Raw genomic sequence first — 23,256 nt, forward strand, 5'->3', positions numbered from 1 at the left:
CCCAACTAAATTTTTCCTCAAGAGGTACAAACATTAAGTGATCAAACCAATCTGACTAAACAAAAGGGTACATAAAAATAGTCTAACTTATGTATACAAAATGATGGTAAGTTACAAAACATGCTGTCTATACAGAAAAACGGACAAATAACTCACTTGGGTATTCTTGGACAAAGCAACAAAAATCACCAAGTCCAGAAGGATAGACAGAATTGAATGGAAATGAACCCTTCATAATCTAACTTCATCTTGCCTTTCCAACACATTGTACAATACAAAATTATTAGAATAGATAAAAGCAGTCTATGGCCATACCAACCTGAACATGCCGATCTCATCTGATCTCAGAATAAAAACAAATTAGAAAAGAAGCTTAGTGCAGTGGCTCACGCCTGTAATCCCAACACTTTGGGAGGTTGCGGTGGGTGGATCTCTTGAGCTCAGGAGTTCAAGACCAGCCGGGGCAACATAGCAAAACCCCGTCTCTACAAAAAAACACAAAAATTAGCAGGGCATAGTGGTGCACACCTGTAGTCCCAGCTGCTAGGGAAGCTGAAGTAGGAGGATGGCTTGACCCTGGGGAGTTGAGGCTGCAGTGAGCAGTAAATGTGCCACTGCACTCCAGCCTGGGTGGCATAAAAAAGTCATTCCAGATAAGAGAAATCACAGAAATATGAAATAAGAAGAGCATACTAATTAGCCCACTTAATGCTTGTTGTAGAGAAGTGGTTAAATATTTTACATAGGAATACACATGTCAAATTATATAAATTACATGGGAGAAAAAACGCTCCAAAAATTACATGGAATTTTGACATGACTTTCCAATGTACCCTATTCATACCCACTACTCATTTGCTATTTGAGAGAAATGTCTCAGAACCAGTCAAACCAAGGCTTACCTTCAAAACCAGGTGGGCACCCAAATTATAACAAGAATTAGAACTTTGTGCTTGTCCTTGCATATAAGGCTGTGTTTCATTTTTCCTTCATATTTACTACTGATTGCTTCATGAATTCAGATAATTTCAGAGCCAGGAGGCATTATTTATAACCCAAATTTTAAATGTTTATATTCCTGAAACATTTGAATATTTGCATAAATGTCATGAGACAAACAAAATTTACTCTGTAGAAAGCACAATTTACCAGATTATTACTGCTAGTTTTATTCTGTCAGCTTTCTCCTTTAAGGAGAAAGCACAGCACTAGGTAGTCCCATTTATTACATCAACATTTTAATAAGGCCAGGCACTGTAGCCCACACCTGTAATCCCAGCACTTTGAGAGGTCAAGGCCAGAAGATTGCCTGAGTTCAGGAGTTCAAGACCAGCCTGGGAAACAACAGTGAGATTCCCGTCACTACAACAAAATAAAAAAATTAGCCAGGTGTGGTCCGCACATCTGGAGTCCCAGACACTTGGGAGGCTGAGATGGAAGGATTGCATGAGCGCAGGAAGTAGAGGCTGCAGTGAGCCATGATCGCACAACTGCACTCCAGCTAGGGTGACAGAGGGAGACCCTGTCTCAAAAAAAAAAAAAAAAGGTCTTCATCTGTCCCTTGGACTATTTGCCTCCTACTCCTCCAATTCGTTCTTTATATTTCCAATAGAATAATCTTTGAAATGCACCTCTAGTCATTTCACTCAGGTGCTCTTCTTCAGTGGAAGGTATGTATGCCCTATGGTTTGAAGTCAGTCGTTTCAGCATGGCAAGCCCTAGTAGTTTCTATGATTTGGTCCCTGTCTGAACACTGTGTACCCTTGCAAATGTTGCTTTCTAGATCTTGAAATGTTCTGCTTCTCCACAGGTTCCCCCTCTTATCTCTCCTATTACTTACGTAAACTGTACAAATCTTACTACATAGCTTGACTGAATTTTTAGGGATGCATCCAAGGAATTATCCTGCAAAATTAAGATACAGAACATTTCCAGCACCCCAGTAGGCTCTCTTCTGTTCTCTCCCAGTCGATACTGACCCTCAGAGGTCACCACTATTCTGTCACCATAAATTAGTTTTGCCTATTTTGGAACCTCATATATACAGTAATGCAGTATTTACTTTTTTCGTGTGTATGTGTGCATGGTGAACTCATTTTTAAGACCAAATTTTATGCATCTTCTCTGTGAAGCAAAACCCTGTCTGTTCCACACAGACTTAGAGTGGCAGAGGAGTACCTTAACCTATCAAAGGCTATTTTGAGCAAAAGCCACTTTTTGTCATTGAAGCTGTAGAACTGAGCCACAAGAGGGAACTGTTAAAGTCCCAGGGTCAAGGACCAGGTACTTACGTTATCCCCACAGCGCAGAAGCACAGCCTGAGTCTCTTCTTTGGCTGAGCCAAGGGTGTGCTGGAGAGGCCTGAGAGAAGGAGCGGCCCTTGTGACCAGTGCCCTTTTGGTTCACAAGGAACGTCTCCTCTTGTTTAAGTGACTTGGCTGAGCTTGCTACTTCTGCTTTGAGAGCCCAATATCAGGATCAAGACTTCGATTATCCCCAATTTACAGATGAGGAAACCATATTGGGCAGGAAAGAAAGTCACCTCAGGAGAGCAAGTTGGACCTGGGCACTGGCTGAGGACAAAGGGGAATCATAATTTGGGATGTAGCTTGTTAAGGGGCCTCCCAAGTGTTCTTGTGATCCAGGTGTGGAGAGGATAGAGCAGAATGGTTGCCAGGGAGACGAGGGTAGGGTGCACTGCCAGAGTGGGAGAAATTAAAGAGAACACGCAACAAAGCCTTGGGACAGCGGGAGGGGGATGGACCACCCAGTTTTGTGCTACGGGAGAAGAGAGCAAGAAAAGGAATCTGTGTTAAATCCCGACAGCCTGCAGGAGAAGCAAATGCCCTTCATTTTCTTCATCAGCGGCGAGACTGGCATCCCTGTAGCTTTGAGAAACCATGCTAGTGTGGATGCCAGCTCCCTCCAGCGGGCCTGACTGGGAGACCTTGGGCTGGGGTTCTGGTCCGGGGCTCCTAGGCCTGATGGGAGGAGAGTTCAGCCCAGCTTTCCTGTACTTCAGCTCGTATGCAGATGATGGCCATTGTTGAAATGAGAGACTCAAAGGAAGCTGGAATCTGAACTTTTTTGTTGTCTCATGTGGACACCTGTGTTCAGTTTCGGGTTCTACCTCTTGCTGTCTGTGTGTTCTTAGGTGACTCGCTTAAACCTTTCTGAGTCTCATTTTCTTCATTTATAAAATAAAAGACATAACATTTATGTCAGATATTGTCCTGAGCATTAAATGGGAGAATAAACAAGCCTCTTCTGCATTCCCCTGGCTTCCAGTGGGTGGAGGCCAGAGAAGCTGCTAAACATCCTGCCAGGTGCAGGACAGCCCCCATCGCAAAGAATCGTCTGGCCCCTGATGTCAGTAATGCAGTATTGAGGAACCCTGGTGCGGGGGAAACAGAATAAACTCAGAAGCTTGGCAGATCTCAATTCAAACCCTGGTTGTACCGCCTCCAGCAGGCCTTGGTCAGGGAATAGCATCTAGCTAAAGTTCATTGACTTCATTTTGTTTTCATTGAATTTATGTTTTGCTGGCTTTCCATTTGTGAGAGTGATACAAATTTCCTTTAAACATGAAGTTGTAAATATAAACAGGTAGGCCATTCACAGGAATATCTAAATTATGTCGCAGGAAAGGTGGCACTCTCATATGGCAATAATTACGACAGAGGCCAGCAAATGACCTGCGTGACCTGGAGTGACCTGAGCACTGACTCCCAAACGCCCTCTGTAGAACGTCCTGCATCCCCCAGACCCTTTCCTGGGTCCTTCTGTGCCCTATCACCCCCTAGACCATCCAGACCTCAGGCCACCCATCTCTCCGTTACCAGAGCAGTCTCCGTTCCCGAACGTGCTGGTCACCAGCAACAGCAGCTGCTCCTCCTCCAGGCAGCTCAGCCTGAACTTGTTCATACAGCGAACGCGGACAGCATTGAGGTAGACATAAGCCTTCAGCTCCCAGTAGACGCTCTGGGTTTCCTACCCTGCCCAGACACTCTGGGCTTCCCCCCACACCTCCCCCAGCCTGGTGCTCCTGTGCTCATCTGTCTCTCCCAGTGCCCAGCACAGGCGTGGCACGGAGGAAGCGAATGGACCGATGTGAACACATCATCCTGGATTCTCCTTCCCCGCTCAAGCCCTGCAGCTAACCCATCGGCAAGCCCTGGGGGCTCTGCCTCCAAAATCCTGCCTATCCCATGTCCAAACACCTCTCACCATGTCCACTGCTCTTTGCAGTTCTGTGTATGTGGAAATATTTCCCCAAAATTGGAATGAGCAGGTCACAGCTGTGCCTGGAGGGAACGGCCAGGGAAATGTGCCCTCGCCTTGCTGTTCTATCCAGGCCCACCCAGCTGAGGATGGGGGACCTGCCACCACTCTCCTGGCAGTTCCGGACTCCTGGGAACCAGCAGGTGAGGACCCAAGAGTGTTTTCAGTGACCCGGCTGACCTGGTCATCCGTCAGTCCCACCTTGGCCTAGGCCTCTGTGCAGCACAGATCACAGCTCATTCCATCCTGGCATTACACTGGCCTGTGCCCTATCCTCAGGGTCACATCCGTCTCCCAGAAGCCGTGCAACCCTGGAAAACCCAGGTCTAACAGTCAGGTTCCTCCTCTGTGCATTAACAATGGCGTTGACGTCTGCTTTGCGGGACGCTGGGAGGGGAGAGGGAGGTGTATGCTGGAGAGCTCCCCAGGGGCAAGGCCTGGTTCTGCGTCACTCACTGTCAGATCCTGAGAGCCTGGGGCTGGCCCAGCACGTGGCCACCGTTCCCTAAGAGTTGGATTTCATCCCTCAGTGCTGAAGGCAGGGGATAGAGCTTAGACAGACCCCCTGCGTCCTGTCTTCTTTATCTACAGCTTACTCATCCTTGCCCCTTTCACGTGCACCCGGCAGAGCAGGTGTTCACTGAGCTTGAGCAAAATTCAAGCTAGAGCAGCTGATGGATCCTGAGGCCTAGATTCACTGTCAAAGTGTTTCTCAACGGTGCTCTCCAGAACACCAAGGAAAACTCATTGACTGTATAAGTCTGAAAATCCCTGCCCACCGGTCTACCTTTGTGTATGAGCAATCAGCTCTACCATTCAGCCCAGGTGTGTGTTTGCTGGACCATGTGAAGGAAGCTGAAGAGACATGAGTGGAAGGCAGAGGGTGAGTCCAAGGTGGGATCTTGGGACAGGTACGAGAAGTTAGGCAAAAATGGGATAATTCTAGCCTTCATAACCTTAGATAATAGTTCACATTATTATTTAGTTAATAGAATTGTACCCACATTAAATTTCTTAAATTTTTTTAAGAGATAAAGTCTCACTCTGTCACCCAGGCTGGAGTGCAGTGGTGCAATCATGGCTCACTGCTTCCTGGAACTCGTGGGCTCCAGCAATCCTCCTGCCTCAGCCTCCTGACTAGGTGGGACTATAGGCACGCGCCACCATGCCTGGCTAATTTCTTTGACTTTTCTCTAGAGACCGGGTCCACCTAGGTTTCCCAGGCTGGTCTCAGACTTCTAGACTCAAGTGAACCTGCACCTCCCGCCTCGACCTCTCAAATTGCTGGGATTACAGGTGTGAGCCACCACACCCGGCCTAAATTTCTTATGTGCCATGGGACTGCAAAACATCATTATTAGGGGCAGCTGGATGGAAGGTATAGGAGGACACTATAGTGCCTTTTCAATATTTCTGTCTAAAATCTAAAATCATTTCAACAGGAAACATTTATTTCAAAACGTGAAGGTGGTTATCCTTCCATGAGTTTAAAGTACAAAGGCAGGCTCACGGCGTCGTCAGAATTCAGAACGATGGTCGTGGGGCTGGGGGTGTTGGGAGGGGCTGGGCATGGTTGGCTTTGTGATCTGGGGTCTGGTGTGTTCCATCTCTGAATGTCTCTCGAGCTGCACTCTTTCTTAACACATTCTCATAAGTTTAACAAAAAATAAAACGAGGAGGCGAAGCTTGCTTGGGTTGTTAAGCCTAGGGAAATTATCCAGCCATGAGCCCTGGCCCAGATGCTTCTAGAAGCCTGGAGGGAACTGAGAACTTTCCAAGTGGAGGCCGCAGAGGCAAGGTCCTGAGGTGGGAGCACACTGCTGTTCGTCCCTAGCTCTGAAGGGGGTGCCCTGGTCGGAATCAGTGCTGGGCGCACTGCAGGGCCGGGAAGTCCATGCCCACGTTGTGGCTCAGTGCAGTGAAAGCCGATCTCACCCGCTCCGCAGGGTGTTCAGCCTGCCAGCAGGTGGCCGGCTGGTCCTCCTGGGATATGGCACGGACCCAGCAGCTCTGTCTGAAATCATAACGGCGGAACCAAGGGTCCCCTACGTCCAGGTCCGTTGGGAGGCGGGGCATGGAGTTCCACTGCAGGAATCTCCAGGAACCCTGAGGTCCTCCCTGAGCCAGGGCCGGGCTGGGCACACCCTGAGTGCCCACAGGGTAGGTGTCTTCCCGGACAGCCCCACCAGGACAGGGTGTGGAAGAACGAGGTGCCCGTGGCGGGGAAGCTGACCAAATGGGCCATGGGAACCGGGCTGGTGGGCCTGGAGGGGCCTGCCTGTCCCCCTTGCAGAGGGTCTTCCCGCCACGTGAAGCTGGCACAGGCCTGGATGCCGACGACCCTTGCTCGGGTTTGGCTGAAAGGAAAACAGACGCGGTCAGCATCTCCAGTGAGCCCACGCAGGCCTTTCCGGGCTGGGCCCCACCTGCCTGCGTCTCTGGAGTCCTCGGGGTCTCTGTGTGGCCCCCGTGGCCTGACACTGAGGACACGCCTGTAGTCTGCTGATCCCAGAGGGAGGGGTGCGTGCTGCCTGGCGTGGGGAAGCTGTCGTGGCATGGCGGGTGGCTCCTGGGACTGCCCCCAGGGTTCAGACTGGCTGGCGGCTTCCTGCCACACACCTTCGTCCCAGGGCTGTTGGGCCTGGGATACGGCCCCCAGTCAGAACTCAGGTGGGAGGGGCCTTGGATGTCACCCAGCCCCTTGCCACCTCAGGTGGGGACCCCTCTCCGCAGTGGGTGATTGGGCCCGGACGTGGGTCACCCTCTGCCCTCCTGGGCTGCCCAGTCCATGCCAGGACTGACCGTTCCCACTTCTGGCTGAACTCTTGGCTCTGGCCCTGGGCCCGGGGTCCCGCCTGCGCCCTCTCCCTGAAAGCTCCGTGGGTCAGGGACACCGATTCCCTTGTCTCCCTGGCTCCAGGCTCGTTGTCCTGGCAAGCTTGGAGGAGCGTGCAGGAGTGAGGGGCCTCTGCTGCTCTCTGAGGCTGTGGGTGCTTGCAGGGAGGGGCGGGGTCTCCCACAAATGGGTCTGGGCTCGGCTAGTAACTTGGAGGGCCCTGCGAGGGGGAGAGGGAGACACCGCAGAAAGTGGGAGGGGGCTTGTTGGAGGGTCTCGCCCACATCCCCCTCCTGCGTGCACAGCATGTCCAGTATACACGCACTGAGCGCCTGCCCTGAGGACCGGTGGGCCTCCTGTACTTTCTTAGAGTCCAGGAGGAAGAGGAGGAAGAAAAGGTGAAGAGGAAGGCCCAGGTAGTAGGGTTGCGGGTCCCGGGCACTCCCCTACTATTGACTACCCCAGAGGGTGACATGGGAGGGGACATGGCACTGGAGCCCACCTGGGGGTGGCAGGTCCCCCTGCTTTCTTGTTAGTTTCTTCATAGAGGCCCTAAGATGCTTGAGCACAGTGTCATCATCCCTGGCCCAGGCATCAACGAACCGGTTCCAAAAACGTGCCCACGGGCCACACCTGGACGTCTTCGTGAGGCGCTCTAGGGACAGGGTGGATATCAGGCCAGGGGAGTTACCTGGGAATGGTCACAGCTCATACCCCGTGGCCACTTCAGTCTCCCACTGGGCGGTGCCGGATCCTTTTGTGGCCACCCCAGGCGTCCAGATATACACAGGAGACTGTGGCTGGGGGGTGATCTGGACAGGGAAGTGCTCACCACACTCTCGACTTTCATCTGGGTCATGTGGGGAATGGGCTCGGTGTCACAGTGTCCTGCCCAGCCCACCTGGCCAGACCTCCCTCTGGGCCAGAACAGAGGATCATGAGGACAGTGTGAGGAAGCTGCCCTCGGGCCAGTCGGGGTCTGACCCCAGGGCTCCCCAGGCCCCGCTGGGCACACGTAGACTTACTCTACTGAACCTTAAAGGCGATTCTTGTTATCGGCATCAACGCCTGTTCGCCTTCTACCAGATACACGTCCCACAGGCGCAGGGTGAGCCCGAGAGAGATCTGTGGGGACAGCAGGTGTGAAAGAACCTGGTCCTTCCAGGCTGGGGCTGGTGGCTCGAGCTGCGCACACTGGGGCTTCAGTCTCCTGAGTCAGTGACCTTCCTTCCCCATGAGGGTCGCCTGAGCCCTCCAGGACGCTGGGTCAGACAAGGTCTTGAAGCTCCTCATGGGAGGCACTCATTTGAGTGGGGATGTGGCTCCTGGAGAGAGGGGCTTGCCCAGGGCTTGAGGCTTCCCTGAGCCCTCTCAAGTCGGGTCCTGGCCCAGTCTGCCCATGAGGCTGGGCCTGAGCCCCAGCCATTGCCCTGGGATGACCCCTCTTGGGCAGAGGGTTTTGCTTGTGTGTCCTTTGGGGACCCGCCTGAGCCTCCTGTGGGCTGGGAGTGAGCCAGACCCCCGGGCTGGGGAAGCAGGGCACTGCAGGGCAAGGAGGGTCCCTGAGCCAGGGTCTCCCTATGCCTCCTTACCCCGTCAATCAATATCCGGATGAGGCAGCCTAAGGACGAACACTGCCCACATAGATCTTTCTTGTCCTGATGGAAGCAACAGAGGTGCTCAGGCCACTGGGCTGCCCTAAAAACCTCCCTCTTCCAGGGCCTCTGAAGACCCTTCCCCTAGTGCAGAACACTGGGCGGTGTCCAGAGCTCCCCACAACACTGTCACCTTCCCACACTCCCGGTGGACACGCTGCCCTTTGCCCTGCTCTGCGGGAGCTGGGCCCCCATCCCTGTGCCTCTGTCTCCTCCAGGGCAGGAAAGGAAACCAACTCCCAGCCCATGGAGAACCCGACGTCCCAGGTCAGGCCCTGGCTGGGACTCAGCCAGTCACCAGCCCCACGAGGGGCTCCAGCCCCCCTGCTCCTACAGCCCCACGGGAGGCAGGGCCTCTGGGAAGAGCTGAGGGGACCATAAACTCACCTGATGCCACATGGTGTTGGGTAGTGACGTGGCTACCACATGCTCCTGTTGGTCTTGGAGCCCCTGGACGGTCCCGCCATTTGGGCTGTGAAATCCTGAGAAGCCCCCAGCCCATCGTGAAATCAGAGCCTTCCCCCAAGATGTGGAGCCATCAGCTGCAAGAGCTGGGCAGCTGGAGAGGCCCCCAAACCCCAAGGCCTCCCACCCTCCCATCTGGTGACCCCAACATGCGGCCTTTACCCTGGGGAGGTGGGGCGGGAACAGTCCCTGGAGCCTGGCTGGAGGTTCCCCTGGAGGCCTCCTGGGCCAGGGTGCAAAAAGGGCAAGCCTGACTTTCAGGCCACCACAGGGCGGCTGGAACTGGGTGGGTGCTGGGCTTCCTGGTCATCTCCTGGTAGTGGGGTCGGGCCAGGGAACAGGGGATGGGGAGATGCTGCCACCTGGGCTTGGTCGGCCCATTCGTGGGCACCGATGGCAGCAGGAGCCCGGGCAGCTGGAGGGCAGGAGGACTCTCAGGGAGGGGGAGAGTCAGCTGCACAGAATCAGAGCCGGAGGGCGTGGCTCCAGGACACAGAGGGTGGCCACGGGGAGGATGAGATGCCCTCTGCTGATGGGGATGAGAGGCGTCTGATTTGGGCTTTGGGGGTCAGCCGTGGACTCCTGTGGGACCCTCAGCAGAGACATCCTAAAGTCTCCCAACAAGCTGGTGACACAAGGAGGGTGCCTTGGCTGAAAGCTGTGATCACCTGGCCAGGGTGGCCATCCCCAGGTCTGGCTGCAGGAGGTCCCCGGGGCAGCTGTTCACTTACCCTGCAGGGAGTGCCTCTCACTGGCCAGCAGCTGCACCAGTGCCCAGAATGCATCCTCCTCAGGAAGATAAAGGAGGAACAAGGCGGCGATGTGGCTCAGGTCCCTGCAGTAGCCCACCTCCTGCAAGAGCCAGAGTCACCATGGAAGGACATCAGCTGGGAGGGCTGAGCTCACCTGGGAGGACTCATGTCATTGGAGAGGGCAGAGGTGACTGGAGAGGCTTCCTCTGAAGGAGAGGCTTCCTCTGAAAAAGAGGCTTCCTCAGGATGCACATTCATTTCATGACAAGAGCCAAGTCCATCAGGCACTTCAGCACCTTGTCCAAAATGTCTGCTGATAGCACCATCCTGTGTGCGATGCTGCCAAGCTCCTGGGCTTTGGGGCAGCCCCAGGAGGACGGCGTCATTTCTTGTTCTGAGAAGTGGTGGTCAGGCCCAGGTGACACCAGGAGTCCAGGCCCTGACTCCTTTGTGTATCAGCTTGACCCCTTGAGACCACCCCCTTCCTTGGAGGTTTATGCCAGCAGTGAGCTGACATCCTACTTCCTATATCCTGGTGGGTCACAAATACTAATTTTAAAAGAAGCAACGACACCCCCACCAGACACCCACTCCTGTGAATATGGAAATATGGCCCGGGAACCTCACTGCCGGGAATACTCACCGGGTTATACTCCTCATACGCCAGGAGGATGTAAAGTAGTTCCCGCTGCCTAGGAAACAGAGAAAGGGGGCTTTGGTTTGTTTTGTGCAGATGTTGTTAATTTCACTTTGTCTACAAAGCCTAACAGCAAATCCCATTTCAGGTTCAGATGATTCACCGGATAAGCAGTGAGCTCTTCAGGGCCTGAGACTCTTGAAGAAATGTTTCAGTAAAATCCACATCTGTGACATGCAAATAGCCCAGTTGTACAGTGCCTGATCCTTTTCACTCTGAATGATTTTTTTTTTTTTTTTCAGTTTGCACACACCCCAGTTCAGTCTGTGGGTGTACAGTTCCTCCACGGTTCCAAACCAATGTGCAGAGTCTCCCGGCCACCGCTCCAGCCCCTCCTGGGGCGACTCCTTCATCCTCCAAGTCTCCAGGGTGGCCCCTATGCACCCAGCCTCTCCCCGATCCGTCAGCCCCTGGCCACCCAGACTGCTTCTCAGTCCCTGTGGTTTGGCCTTTTCCAGAATGGCCTAGGAATGGGAATCCTACTGTGGTAGCTTATTGGGTCTGGCTTCTGTCCCTCAGCAAAATGCATCTAGGATCCACCCACGTTCGTGCGGGCATCACTGGCTCGTTCCCTTTTCTCACTGGGTCTTCCGTTTGAAGGGAGGACCAGCCTTGCTCTCCCCATTCCCGTGTTGAAGGCCGTCCCCGAAGGCTCCGTGTGTGAGTGACGAGGAGTCAAGCAGTGAACCTGGCATGCAGGTTTCATGTGGATGTCAGTTTCCAAATCAGTGGGTTCAATCTCTGTGACACTTTGGGGATGCGTGGTTCAAGTCCATCGAGCTTTGTGAGCCACTGCCCAACTGGCTGCCAACGTGGCTGTGCCATGTCATGTTCCCAGCAGACCTGGATGAGAGTTTCCAGGACCCCTAATTCTCCCAGCATTTGGTGCCCTCTATCCTGCCACCCTCCCGTGGCTCCTACCATGGGTCCCCATGGGTCAGGGAGAGCACCTTTCACCATTGTGCATGATTTTGTTTGCTGCCTTCCATCTCCTCAGGATCCTCCTGGGTTCTGGCCCCACATGTTCCAGTCTGGCCCAGGGCTTGGAACCAGGGAGGTGCTCGGTTCATGGTGCCGGCTGCTCCCTGGGCCAGGAGAGCTCTTGGCAGCTGTGTCATCCCTCCTGGGTGACCCTGGCTTCTGCTCCGGGGAAGCCCCCATCCCTCTCATTCACCCCATCTCTGCTGGGACCCTGTGGCTTACTTGGTTCCGTATCGATCCCTGAAGAATATATGCCTCCTTAATGTCCCGCTTACGTCCAGGTCCATCTGCTGGATGTGTTCAGATGACCTCTTGCCCTTCTCCTTCATGATCTGTAGGGCAGGGCCAAGAGGAGGAAGCAGTCTCAGAACAGATGGAAGACTCCCTGCCCCCAGTGGCAGTCAGCCCACAGTCAGCACTTCGGGAAGGAAGGACAGAAGGAAGGTTTCCTTCTGCAGAAAGCTGCATTTTGGCTTGTTACTGAAGCCAGGGAGGGTCACCAGAGCTGAGTTTGTCTGTGGTGACTGTGTCACCATCTGTGCCCAGGGTGTTCATCTGACCTTCACCCCCAGCTCCCCAGGGTGGTCTTGACGTTCCCTCCAGCTGGAGACCTGGGCCCCTGACACGGCCTGTCCTGTTGGTTGTGCTCTGGCTGAGCGTACCTGGTATCTTCCGGGGTTTTTCAACTTGATTTCCTCAATGTTCAGGAGGACTGACCACATCGGGCCCCGGATGTTCATGGGAATTCCCTGGTACGCTCGATCTATGAGCTGTGGGCAGAAAACAATCTGGTGTCGCAGGCCACGGGGTGACCCCAGTGAGGACCAGAGCCCGGGGATTCTGGAAATTGTTGGTTTTGGCCCCATGATTCCTCAGTAGAGGTGAGATCAAGCTGGGACAGGGTCTCCCTTCCCAGGACTGAAAGAGTGGATGGACACTCAGAGTCGAAACTCTGATCTGAACCTTTTCCTTCCTTCAGGTCACCAGGGCATCCCTAGCCTTGAGCTCCGGGTAGTCCCAGCCCTAGATTCAGATTCCCTCCCAGCAAGGTGACGCTTGCACGAATAGGCAGGAAATCTGGCGACCAGGCCTGCAGTCCTCTGGGCGAGGACAGCGTGCCACCCACCCTCTGAGAGGCTGACGGCGCCAGGCCACAGCCATGGGTGCCTGTCCCCTGTCTCTGCAGAGAGTGCTTCCTCCCTCCACACATTACCTTTCTGCTGTTTTTGTAGGTGTCCCATTCTCCCAGCATTTTCACCCACTTGCTCTTTCGGCTGATCTCCCGCCGAATTTGCTGTCAAATGAGGCATGTTGGAGTTAGCGGAGCTGCCAGGCTTCCCAGAGCCGCCCGCGGATGCTGGGTCTTGGGCTCTGGAGCCCTGGTGGGAGCCAGCTGGAAGGAGCCAGGGAAGGGCAGACCTCAAGGGCTGAGAGCCTTTGAGCAAATGAGCACCAGTGGGCTGGCTTTGGGACCCCGGGATGTACCATCCTCAGGCCACAGCCACACCAGTCTTAGGTCCCAGCCTCTAGGTGGGATCCTGACACAAGCGCGCAGCCACCCCCAAGCCAGGACTGTGGTTCTCCTTTTGGAATTTTATCAAACTGCCAAAGTTAACAGCAACCTGGGGTCAGGTCCAGCAGGGACTGCTGCCCCTCCCAGTGACAGCGCGTTGCCCTCACCCGCCACCGCTCAGGCCAGCTGCTTCCTCTGCCTCACTGACCACCCGCCCAGTCCCTACGTCCCTGGACCAGCCCCTCCATGCATCAGGCTCTTACCTTCACCTCCCGCGCAGTCAGAGGAGGCAGCTCCGTCTCACTGTAAGGCAACCCAGGCAGAGCTGAGGAACTGCACGGGGCCTGGAGCGGCCCCAGCCTGGGTGCCGGCCCCCAGAAAGGACTGGCTCTGTCCCTTTCCAGCTCAGGGCTCAGCCCAGGAGAAGGCACAGGGAAGGGAGGACAAGGGCCTTCCTGTGGGGCTGACTCCCAGGAGGGGCAGGACCTGGGAGAAGAAGGAGTGTAGGGACAGCCTGGCCGGGGTTACTGGGGCCCCTGGCGTGGGGGGCGGTCAGGCTGCCCAGTGGGGCTGCCCGTCCTGGACTCGAGGTGGTGCTTTCTGCTGGAGCTGAGAAAGGTTAGCCCTGAGATGGGATGGGGGCCGCCCAGGGTGGGTGACCGGGCCCTGACAGGAGTCCCTCAGGGAGTGACCACATCACCCCGCCAGGGTCAAGGGAGCCTGCCCTGAGACCTGCCCCGTGTACTCTGGGTGCACCAGGGGCCCATCCCACTTGACAGCCCCAAGGCCCTTGCAGGTTCTGACCTCCCAGCATCCACCTGCCTCTCCCTGCACCCGAGCCACACACCCTGCGTTTCAGAAGTGGCACGGCTCATCAGCTCCCTCCCGCCCTACCTCCCCTGGGATCCTCTGTCTCTCCATCCTGTGATCCCTGAGGGATGGGCTCCTGGCTGGGCTCCTCTTACCCGGCCCCAGATCCCTTCCCAGCACCAGACCCAGGTCTTTAGCCGCGAGCCCTGCTGCCTCCCCGGCCTCACCGTGAGATGCCCAGAACGGGGCCCTGCCCATCTTCCCCCCGTTCTCCTAGGGCTACAGCCCCCATTGTCACCATGCCTTTTCCCCTCACGGGACAGTGAGGGCCATAGCTCTAGGGGCATGGGGGAGAACAGGGGCAGGTGGGCCCTCAGAGACCTGCTGGACAACAGCCCTGAGGCCGGGCCAGGCGTCCCCTCACCCTGTGGCCATAACCCTTGCATCTCACCGGGGTTGTCTCCAAGTAGACAGGGCCAGACCCTCAGGCTGCCCAGCTCCTCTTGTGCTCACTTGCCGACAGAACTGCTGAGCGCCCAGGGGCCTGACCTAGCCCAGTCTCCATTCCCACCAGCTCCCTAGATGGGCCCCACACCTCTGGCCTAACAACAACCTCGGGCTGGACCTGCAGGGGAGTCAGGGAGGAGTTCTGTCCCTGGAAAGGAGGTTGACCCGACCTGGTGAGACATGTCCTGCATCAGAAAGGCCTTTCTAAAAGCAAACCCATCCCTGAGCTGAGACAGGTGCTTTAGGGGTGAGGGGAGTGCAGAGGACTCACTGTACAATCCCCAAATGATCGACGTTGTTGTTGTAGCTTCCAAAAGACTTAGGCCCCTTGTCCTCTGGCAGCCCAGCTCGGTGTCCCTGTAGCCCAGAGGGAGCCTTGGTGAGGGGTCCAAGGTAAAGGGTGCAAGGGCCTGGGGGCATTGGCCACCCGTCCCTGCCCTGTGCTCCTAGGGAGCCCAGGACCCTTTGACCAGGGCACACTGGAAGAGGCCTCCCTCCAAGAAGCAGACCGACTTGTACCTTTTCGTATTTCATAATGATGTCCTCTCGCTCTTGTGCCCACCAACTACCCGCGACCTCTACCACGTCCATCCTGTGAGACAAAATTGTCTAAAGGTTACACTGTACGCGGCGGCTTCGGAGAACACCTGAACCGCTCTCGCCGGGCTCCCAGATGCTGGCTGGCTGCGTAACCCCCATTCCACCGCCGCCCCCAGGGAAAAAGGGGCCAGACCCAGTGGCCCACAGCTGCTCGAGTCTCTGGAGTCTCAAGTCCCAAGCAGGGGTGGGCATCTTCCCAAGGACTTGAGTACAGTGGGACCTAGACAGAGAATCCTGTTGTCCCCCAGTGCCATGAAATGGGGACACACCGGCCCCAGCAGGTTGAATGGTTTCCACCTGCCAAGGGTGAAGGGCCCATGATGGGCTATTCCAGGGATGTGGAGGCAGACTGGGGTCAGCGACCAGAGGTCTCTGTACAATCGGCCTCCTGGGATGCTCAGGGCCTCAGAGATGCCCAGTTTCCTACAGGGAACAAGATCTCTCCTGACTGCTCGGTTCTACTCCGCTCATCACTTTGGCTACCGTGGCTCTTCAGTCTGAACAGTGAAGCCACTTCAGGAATAACGCCTGTTGAGCAGGAGGGTGTTCGGTTTGGGGGATGAGAAAGATCTATTGTACGCATGGAAACCACGTCTCTTGCGGAGGGACTGTGGAGTCCACCATTCTGAGCCGTCCCAACAGGAGGAGGCTTCATTTTCCTGGGTCACTGAGGAAGAACAGTGGGTCCTTGGTCCTGGAGAACACCTGGATGGACCGTCCCTCCTGGGAATACTCGAGGCAAAAGGAGGGCGAGGCCTCAAGAGGACCACACAGAGCAAGAAATGCCTGGGGAGAACCCTAGTGCCCGGACCCCTTTGAACAGAAGGGAAGATAGTCTCCCCTCAGCCAGCCCTCCAGGGCTCCTTCATTTTCCACAGCTGCCCAAGGGCAGCAGGCTCCCCCGGACAAGGGACCATGTGTGTTCAGTGGGGCCCACAGCGACCATCGGGACCCAGCTTAGGGCACAGAGGTGTTCTGAGGACCGTCAGTGGATCTATACCAGTGGATCTGTACCAGTGGATCTGTACCAGTGGCTCTGCCAGGACCAGGCTCTGCCCCATCGGGATCGGAAACCTGGGCAGATTTGGGATCTAGGGCAGGGAGGTCACAGGGTTCAGGCCTGAATTCCAGCACAGCACACGGCAGGGCTGAGAGCAAAACTCAGGGTCATGTCCGGATTCCCAGGCCGGTTACTGCCTCTCTGACCCCAGACGTCTCATCTGTCGAATGGTTACATTTGGGAACAGCACCCACTCTACGAAGCCACCATGGAGACGAAAGAGCCAATCGTCTACACGGGCAGTGTAGAACGGGCGCCTGGTGAGTGCTCAGGGATGACCCTCCTCGGTAGCTGCCCCACAGAGGCCAACACCGCCCGCACCGTAGCCACTGTCTCCAAGTCCGCCTGGAGGGAAGAGAGCAGGTCACGCTCACCTGACTCTGATGAATCAGCTGGCCTGGGTCATGCCTCTCAGGGAGAAAACCTTTGAGTCCACAGAGCTGCTCACAGATACCACTGCCTGTGTGTAACTGCCGTAGAACACTGAGGCAGGCCAGAGAGCGGATAGGTGCTAAGCACCAGTGACATTCTGAGGTCATGGCACGCATCACAATGGGGCCTTGCCCGGGTCAGCAGCGCCCAGAGTCAGGGTCCTCCGCTGCCTGAGGCGTCAACATGCCTGCCTGCAATGTGTTTGTGCACGTGCGTGCACACGTGTATGTGGCTAAACATGTCTGTGCACATGTGTGTTGCTTCTCTGGCCAGGCCCGGCTGCCCCACTCATGTGTGCACCCAGTTCCTCATCACTGTCACCCCCGAGGCCCAGGGCCAGCATCAGAGCGCCCAGGGCCAGCATCAGAGCATCCATGGCTGCTCCCTAACCTCAGCCCTCCCTGCCCAGGGTGGTCCTGGGATACACATAGGGGTGGAGGGAAGTGACTGCTGCTGCTGCTGGATCTCAGAATACAAAAGCTAATACTATTACCTAATGGTCTTTTTAGTGTCTCTAATGGTATCGCTTTTTCATTTCTGATATTTTAACTGGGTATTTCTCTCCATGACCCTTGGATATTCTAGCTAGAGGATCCTGTGAGGAAAGTGCCGGGCACACAGTAGGGGCTCACTCTTCTAGACATGTTATCTAAAACCTGATTCATCTGTCCTTCCACGCAGGGCCTAGGGGATGCCAAATTCCAGGGTCCAGAAAGAGCTTGGGATAAAATGAAACTTCAAGGGGACGGCTTTGACCTGGGCTGAGTCTGCCTGTGCCGAGTCTGCCTGTGCCATCCAACTGGAGTCTCAAGTCCTGAGGCAGGACGTCCAGATGCCCCAGTGCAGGGTCCTCCTGATCAACACCTGTCCCCCTGTACTCATTAGCAACCTCACCCACCCTACTCTCAAAGCACACTTGGCTCTCATATCCAGGAGCTCTGCATCTGTAGATTCAGCAACAGCAGATGGAAAATATTCAGAAAATAAATTGGATGGTTATATTTCTATTGAACATGTGCAGACTTTGTTCTTGTCATTATTCCCTAAAGAATACAGTATCATGACCATTTATGTAGCATCTGCATTGTATTACACATCCTGAATAATCTAGAGATGGTCTAATGTCTACAGGAGGATGTGCATAGCTGATATGTAAATACTAGGCCATGTTATGTCAGAGACTTGAGGATCCATGGATTTTGTCATCCCCGGGGACCCTAGAACTAATCCATGGATACCAAGGGATGACTGTAGAAACTCACTCAGGAAGGCTTCTCATTGGAGGAAGGGCCCAGTTCAGGACACACAGGGACATCTCCCTGGACTACTGTCCATTCATCCATCCATTCATCCATTGTCTCCCCCCACCCCCCCATCTCGGACTGTCCCAATGACAGCCCTAGCAAGAAGAGACAAGCAACAAGATAAGTTCACGTTGTCCAGTTTTGAGGTATTGGAAGAAGTTGCACCGGTATGAGAATAGTGGGTCAGTTTTCTACAGGATCCAGAAAGCATATCGGGCAGCCTCGGGGTGCGGAAAGGAGCCTGGCCTCTCCAGCAGCCACACAGGCCTGCAGTAGGATGGGGCTGGGGCTGGCCATGTGGATCACTTGGGCCTCATGAGGGGAAAGGAAATACCAGGGGGCAGAAGAGGAGCATGGGGGCAGCTGGTTGCCTAAGGGGAAGGCACCTCAGGGAAGGGGACTGTATTCATTTGTTTTCACACTGATGTAAAGAAATACCTGAGATTGGGTAATTTATAAAGGAAACAGGCTTAATTGACTTGCAGTTCCGGAAACTTACAATCATGGCAGAAGGGGAAGGGGAAGCAGGCACCTTCTTCACAAGACGGCAGGAGGGAGTGAGTGGAGAACCAGTAAGTGCCACACTTTGAAACTATCAGCTCTCCTGAGAACTACCTCACTATCCGGGGAGCAGCACGGGGGAAACTGTCCCCAAATCCAATCTCCTCCCACCAGATTCCTCCCTTGACACAGGAGGATTACAATCCCAGATGAGTTTTGGGTGGGGACACAGAGCCAAACATGTGAGGGTCTCAGTCTATGTTGCAGCTCCCCTGGGGCTGAGGCTGAGTACAGACCTGCCGGCCTTGCCCTATAGCACGCGAGGGCTCTGCCAGTGTGCTCCCATCTCCTGCTTCCTGGGGATGGTGGTGACTTCCTCCAGAGAAGGGTGTATTTGTTCTCCTCCTGCCCCTGCAGGGCATTGTGGAGCCCTGGCCAAGTTCTCCCAGGATAAGGGCAGGAAACAGGGCTCCTTGCCCTTCTTGTTGCTTGAGTGACAACCCTGGGGTCATCCCTAGGCCCCGTCACTGCCCCTGCTTCTAAACTGAGAACATTTTGGCAAATCTTCCTGGTAGAGGCTGGGGGCTCATCCCTGCTATCTGTTCTAGCTTGGTAGAGCCAGGTTAAGACATCTGGGCAAGAAGAGAGTAGAGTGTACCCCAGGAAGCGTGGGTGGAGGGCACTGGCCTTTGGGCTTCTCTGGACCAGGGTGGGAAGGGGGAAGTTTACCAGGAAATAGAGCTCTCAGGACTATGTTTAGGAGGAGGTGGTAATGCTGGTGGGGGGACGTCCATTCATCCATCCATTCATCCATTGTCTCCCCCGACCCCCCATCTCGGACTGTCCCAATGACAGCCCTAGCAAGGAGAAACAAGAAGGAAGACAAGTTCATGTGGTCCAGTTTTGAGGTCTTGGAAGAAGTTGCACCAGTATGAGAATAGTGGGTCAGTTTTCTCCAGGATCCAGAAAGCATATCAGGCAGCCTCAGGGTGAGGAAGGGAGCCCAGCCTCTCCAGCAGCCACACAGGCCTGCAATAGGATGGGGCTGGGGCTGGTTTGGGGTGGAGGATAAGTGACAGCCAAGGTTTGTCAGCATGCAGAGGGGTGGCTGACTCATGGACTAGGGGCTGCGGAGCCCAGTGGTTGCCCTTAGTTCTTGGATCCTAGGAGACTTCTGGAGCCTGGATCTGGACAGCCTAGGGGTGGAGGTGGTGAGGGGCAGGGCTGGGGGCGGGAGGAGAGGCCTCGCATGGCAGGGTGCGGGGCAGGAAGCCAGCCAGGGACTGCTTTGCAGTGTCTGCTCCCATCGCCCTTCCCACCCCCAAACCCACCCCTACCCCTACCCTGGTGCAGGGTCGGTCCGGGGCAGGTGTCTTCTGCTTTGGCCTCAGCAGATCCCAAGATGGAAGCCGGCAGCCACGCGGGCATGTCACTTGCGCCAGCTTTGTCCTGCAGTTTCTGCTTCCTGGAGCGTGGGACGCCCACCCAGGAGAGCACGGGCAGACCCCACACCTCTCATTTTGAGGGTGCTGGGAGGTGGGGGACCAAGGTCCTGCAGCCCTGTGCTTGTGCCGTGAAAATTAGCCTAGGAGTCCCATGTCCACCTGTCTACGTGGAGCCCCAGGAGCGTGAACAGTGGCATGCAGCGAGATGAGGAGGGAGAGAGAACTGGAAAAGAAGGAGAGAGAAAGAGAGATGAGGAGAAGGGAAAGTGAGAGAGGAAGAGAGATTTGGAGAGAGACAGAGGAGGCTGAGAGGATAAGGAGGGTGAGATGGGGAGAGAGATACAAAACACAAAGAGACAGAGAGAGACGTGCAGGAGTAGGAGGTCGAGTTACTCTTGATCCCAGTTCCCAGTGAAAACTGTAGGTCGCCATCACCTAACCACACATGCAATAAAGTCTGCCTGCTGCTTAGAGCCCTGAGAACCCCTTCTCATGGAGCATAAAACCTTTGACTACTGCCCTTCCTCACCGCATTTTTGTTGTCTCTTCTGGTGAACCATGATGTCTTGTCTATTGCCTTCCTGGGCTCAAGGATCCATCAAAAACTGATGCTTCTTTGGGGAGAGTCTGCAGTGCCTTCCACTCACTAGGCTCCCCAGGAAGCTTGCACACTTGGCTTGGGCCCCAAGCAGCTGGGTACATGATGGGACTCTGCTTCTCTCTTTCAGTAAGAAGGAGAACTAAGAAAGAGACTGAAGCATGGTCTGTGGAGAAGGCACTTGTGCAAACACCAGGAGAATGAGGGGCCTGAGTTGTCTTCGTTTCTCCTAAAAGCATGCATTCCCGGCTGGGCGCGGTGACTCATGCGTGTAATCCCGCCACTTTAGAAGGCTGAGGCAGGCGGATCACCTGAGATCGGGAGTTCGAGACCAGCCCGACCAACATGGAGAAACCCCATCTCTATTAAAAATACAAAATTACCCAGGCATGGTGGCACATGCCTGTAATCCCAGCTACTTGGGAGGCGAAGGCAGGAGAATTGCTTGAACCCAGAAGGCGGAAGCTGCAGAGAGCCGAGATTTCGCCATTGTACTCCAGCCTGGGCAACAAGAGTGAAACTCCATCTCAAAAAACAAACAAACAAACACACAAACAAACAAACAAACACATTCCCTCCCAGGCCACCCAAGTGAGGGCATGAAGCACAGCGTGTGTGTGTGTGTGTGTGTGTGTGTGTGCACGCGTGTGTGCATATGTGTGTTTGTGTGTTGCAGGGGTTACAGTGGACAGGATGTGGGAGGGCAGCTGCAGCTCCAAGCTGCAAGTCTTTCTGATAGAATGCTTAAAACTCCTTGGACCACAGCAAGAGAGTGTTTTCATTTGCACCCATTTTTATTAGCGTTTGAACCTGTACTTTTTGTAGCATGTAAACCTTAAGCTGCTTAACTATTCCTTGAAGCATTTACACCAGCGGTTCCCAACCTTTTTGCTACCTGAGACCAGTTTTCTTGAAGACAATTCTTCCACGGACCCGGGAGAAGGGGAAGGGATGATGTGGAGATGATTCAAGCCCATTACATTTATTGTGTGCTTCATTTCTATTATTTCACTGTAATATATAATGAAATAATTACACAACTCACCATAATGTGGAATCAGTGGGAGCCCTGAGCTAGTTTTCCTGCAACTGCATGGTTCCATCTGGGGGTGATGGGAGACAGTCACAGATCATCAGGCATTAGGTTCTCATAAGGAGCACGCAATCTAGATCCCTGGCATGCGCAGTTCACAGTAGGGTTCACGCTCCTATGAGATAATGGCACCGCTCATCTGAGAGGAGGCACAGCTCACGTGGTAATGCAAGGGATGGGAAGTGGCTGTTTCTACAGATGAAGCTTTGCTCACTGGCTGGCTGCTCACCTCCTGCTGTGTAGCCTGGTTCCTAACAGCTGGGGATCCCTCATTTACCCAGCAAGATAAATACATTATTATGTCAATTGAAATTCTTCACCTTGAACCACCCCAAATTACCTTGCATACCTACACCCACCCAAGGGTCCCGGAGCACACTTTGGGGGCTGCAGACAGTAAGCCTGGAGCTCCATGGAGCATTCCATCTCTCCACCATCTGTGGGCTAACAGGCTGTGTTAGTTTCCTAGGGCTGTTTTACAGTACCACAGACTGGGCACCTTCAACAACAGAACGTTACTGTCTCACAGTACTGGAGGCCATGAGTCCAAGATCAAGGTGTCAGCAAGGTGGGTCCCTTCTGAGGCTGTGCAGGAAGGCTCTGTTCCAGGCCTGTCTTCTCATGCGCGGGTGGACGTCTTCTCCCTGTGACTCTCCATTAAGGGTGATTCTGGTGAGGGCTCAGAAGAGGAGACTTGGACAGAATGTTGGTAGGTAAATGTGTCAGTGGAAACCAGAGGGTAGACAGGACTCCATCCATGCCCAGGGCTTTCTGGGGACAGACCTGTCCAAGCAGCAGCGATTCCCAACCGAGTTCTGTTTCTGGAAAGCCAGGCAACAGCTGGGGCTGGGCCCTCTGGGATTTGTTTAGTGACCCGATGATGTGGGAGGCCTGCAGTGGGTGGTTGGGTGGGGGGTGGTACTGCCCAACCTCATTGCATCACTCACTTCCCAGGCCCTGCCCTCAACCCCTCCTGACCAGGCCCTGTCCTGGTTCTCAGCCACCCTGTCCCAGTGGGTGCTTCAGCCCACTCACTGACCAAGTGAGGGACTGACTCCAGGTTACAGAGTGCTGTGTTTATGTGACCTGAGAATATGTGTGCGCAGAGTGTGCCCGCAGTGTCCTTGTACAGTTGAGCATATACATGTCCTGCCCGTGTGTAGGCAGCCTGTCCACACATGCCTAGGAGTGTGACTCCATGTCCTGGTAGATGGGGAAGGAGAGAGGGAGTTGTGCCCAGGGTCCCCTGATTACTTCTATGGGTGCATGTTTGTGCATCTTGTTAGGGGTCCTTGGGGGTATGGAAGATTCTCCCCTGGGTGCCCTTGATCACCTGTGTGTGCGTGTGTCTGTGTGTGTGTGCATTAGGGGGTGTACTGTGTTACAGCATCCTCAACCAACTCTGTATGTGTGCATATGTTTGTGTGTGTGTGTGTCTTACAGGTATGAGCGAGTGGATGCTTCCACTACGTGTCTGCACACGTGTGCGTGCACTTGCATTGTCCTTGCACACCTTCGTGTGTCCCGTGAGAGCGAACGGAGCCCCGCATGTGCTGGCACCTGCAGGAACGTGTGAGTGAGTGTGCGATCCGTGGGTCCCTGTCCTGCTGGCTCCCCGCTTGTCCCGAGGGAGTGCGCGCACGGGGTCCCAGGCCGGCGTGTCCGCCGGTGTGAGTGCGAGTGAGTGTGGCCCCACGCAGCTCTCTCCGCTCCGCGCTGCCTGGGC

At 54.8% G+C, this 23,256-nt stretch overlaps 1 long non-coding RNA gene and 2 pseudogenes across 4 annotated transcripts in view, besides 1 other annotated feature; 1 reads left to right on the plus strand and 2 right to left on the minus strand.

Moving 5' to 3' along the window:
* TBC1D3P1-DHX40P1 (TBC1D3P1-DHX40P1 readthrough, transcribed pseudogene) overlaps positions 1-16,642 on the minus strand; it is a 56,690-nt pseudogene extending 40,048 nt beyond the window's left edge. Inside the window, exons 1-3 of the transcript NR_002924.3 lie at positions 16,532-16,642; positions 15,017-15,089; positions 11,890-11,999 (exon numbers count right to left, since the gene is read on the minus strand). The product of NR_002924.3 is annotated as a TBC1D3P1-DHX40P1 readthrough, transcribed pseudogene (transcript). The remainder of the gene's footprint in view (positions 1-11,889; positions 12,000-15,016; positions 15,090-16,531) is intronic.
* TBC1D3P1 (TBC1 domain family member 3 pseudogene 1) lies at positions 5,529-16,642 on the minus strand (annotated as a pseudogene).
* Positions 8,148-8,647: an enhancer, noted in NCBI's record as "H3K4me1 hESC enhancer chr17:58087919-58088418 (GRCh37/hg19 assembly coordinates)". NCBI's record gives its function as "activates a minimal SCP1, AML or CMV promoter by ChIP-STARR-seq in naive H9 embryonic stem cells {active_cell/tissue: H9 hESC(naive)}" and the evidence as "EXISTENCE:reporter gene assay evidence [ECO:0000049][PMID:30033119]".
* LOC105371848 (uncharacterized) lies at positions 16,736-17,601 on the plus strand. Of its 3 annotated transcripts, none has more exons than XR_007065868.1 (2): positions 16,736-16,813; positions 17,271-17,601. It is a non-coding gene; the product is annotated as an uncharacterized LOC105371848 (long non-coding RNA). The 3 variants fall into 3 exon arrangements; XR_007065869.1 differs by having other exon boundaries at positions 16,777-16,817; XR_001752958.2 differs by having other exon boundaries at positions 16,793-17,109.
* The last annotated feature ends 5,655 nt before the right edge of the window (positions 17,602-23,256 follow it).

This window comes from Homo sapiens, chromosome 17 (genome assembly GCF_000001405.40).
Source record: "Homo sapiens chromosome 17, GRCh38.p14 Primary Assembly".
Classification (NCBI taxonomy): Eukaryota; Metazoa; Chordata; class Mammalia; order Primates; family Hominidae; genus Homo; species Homo sapiens.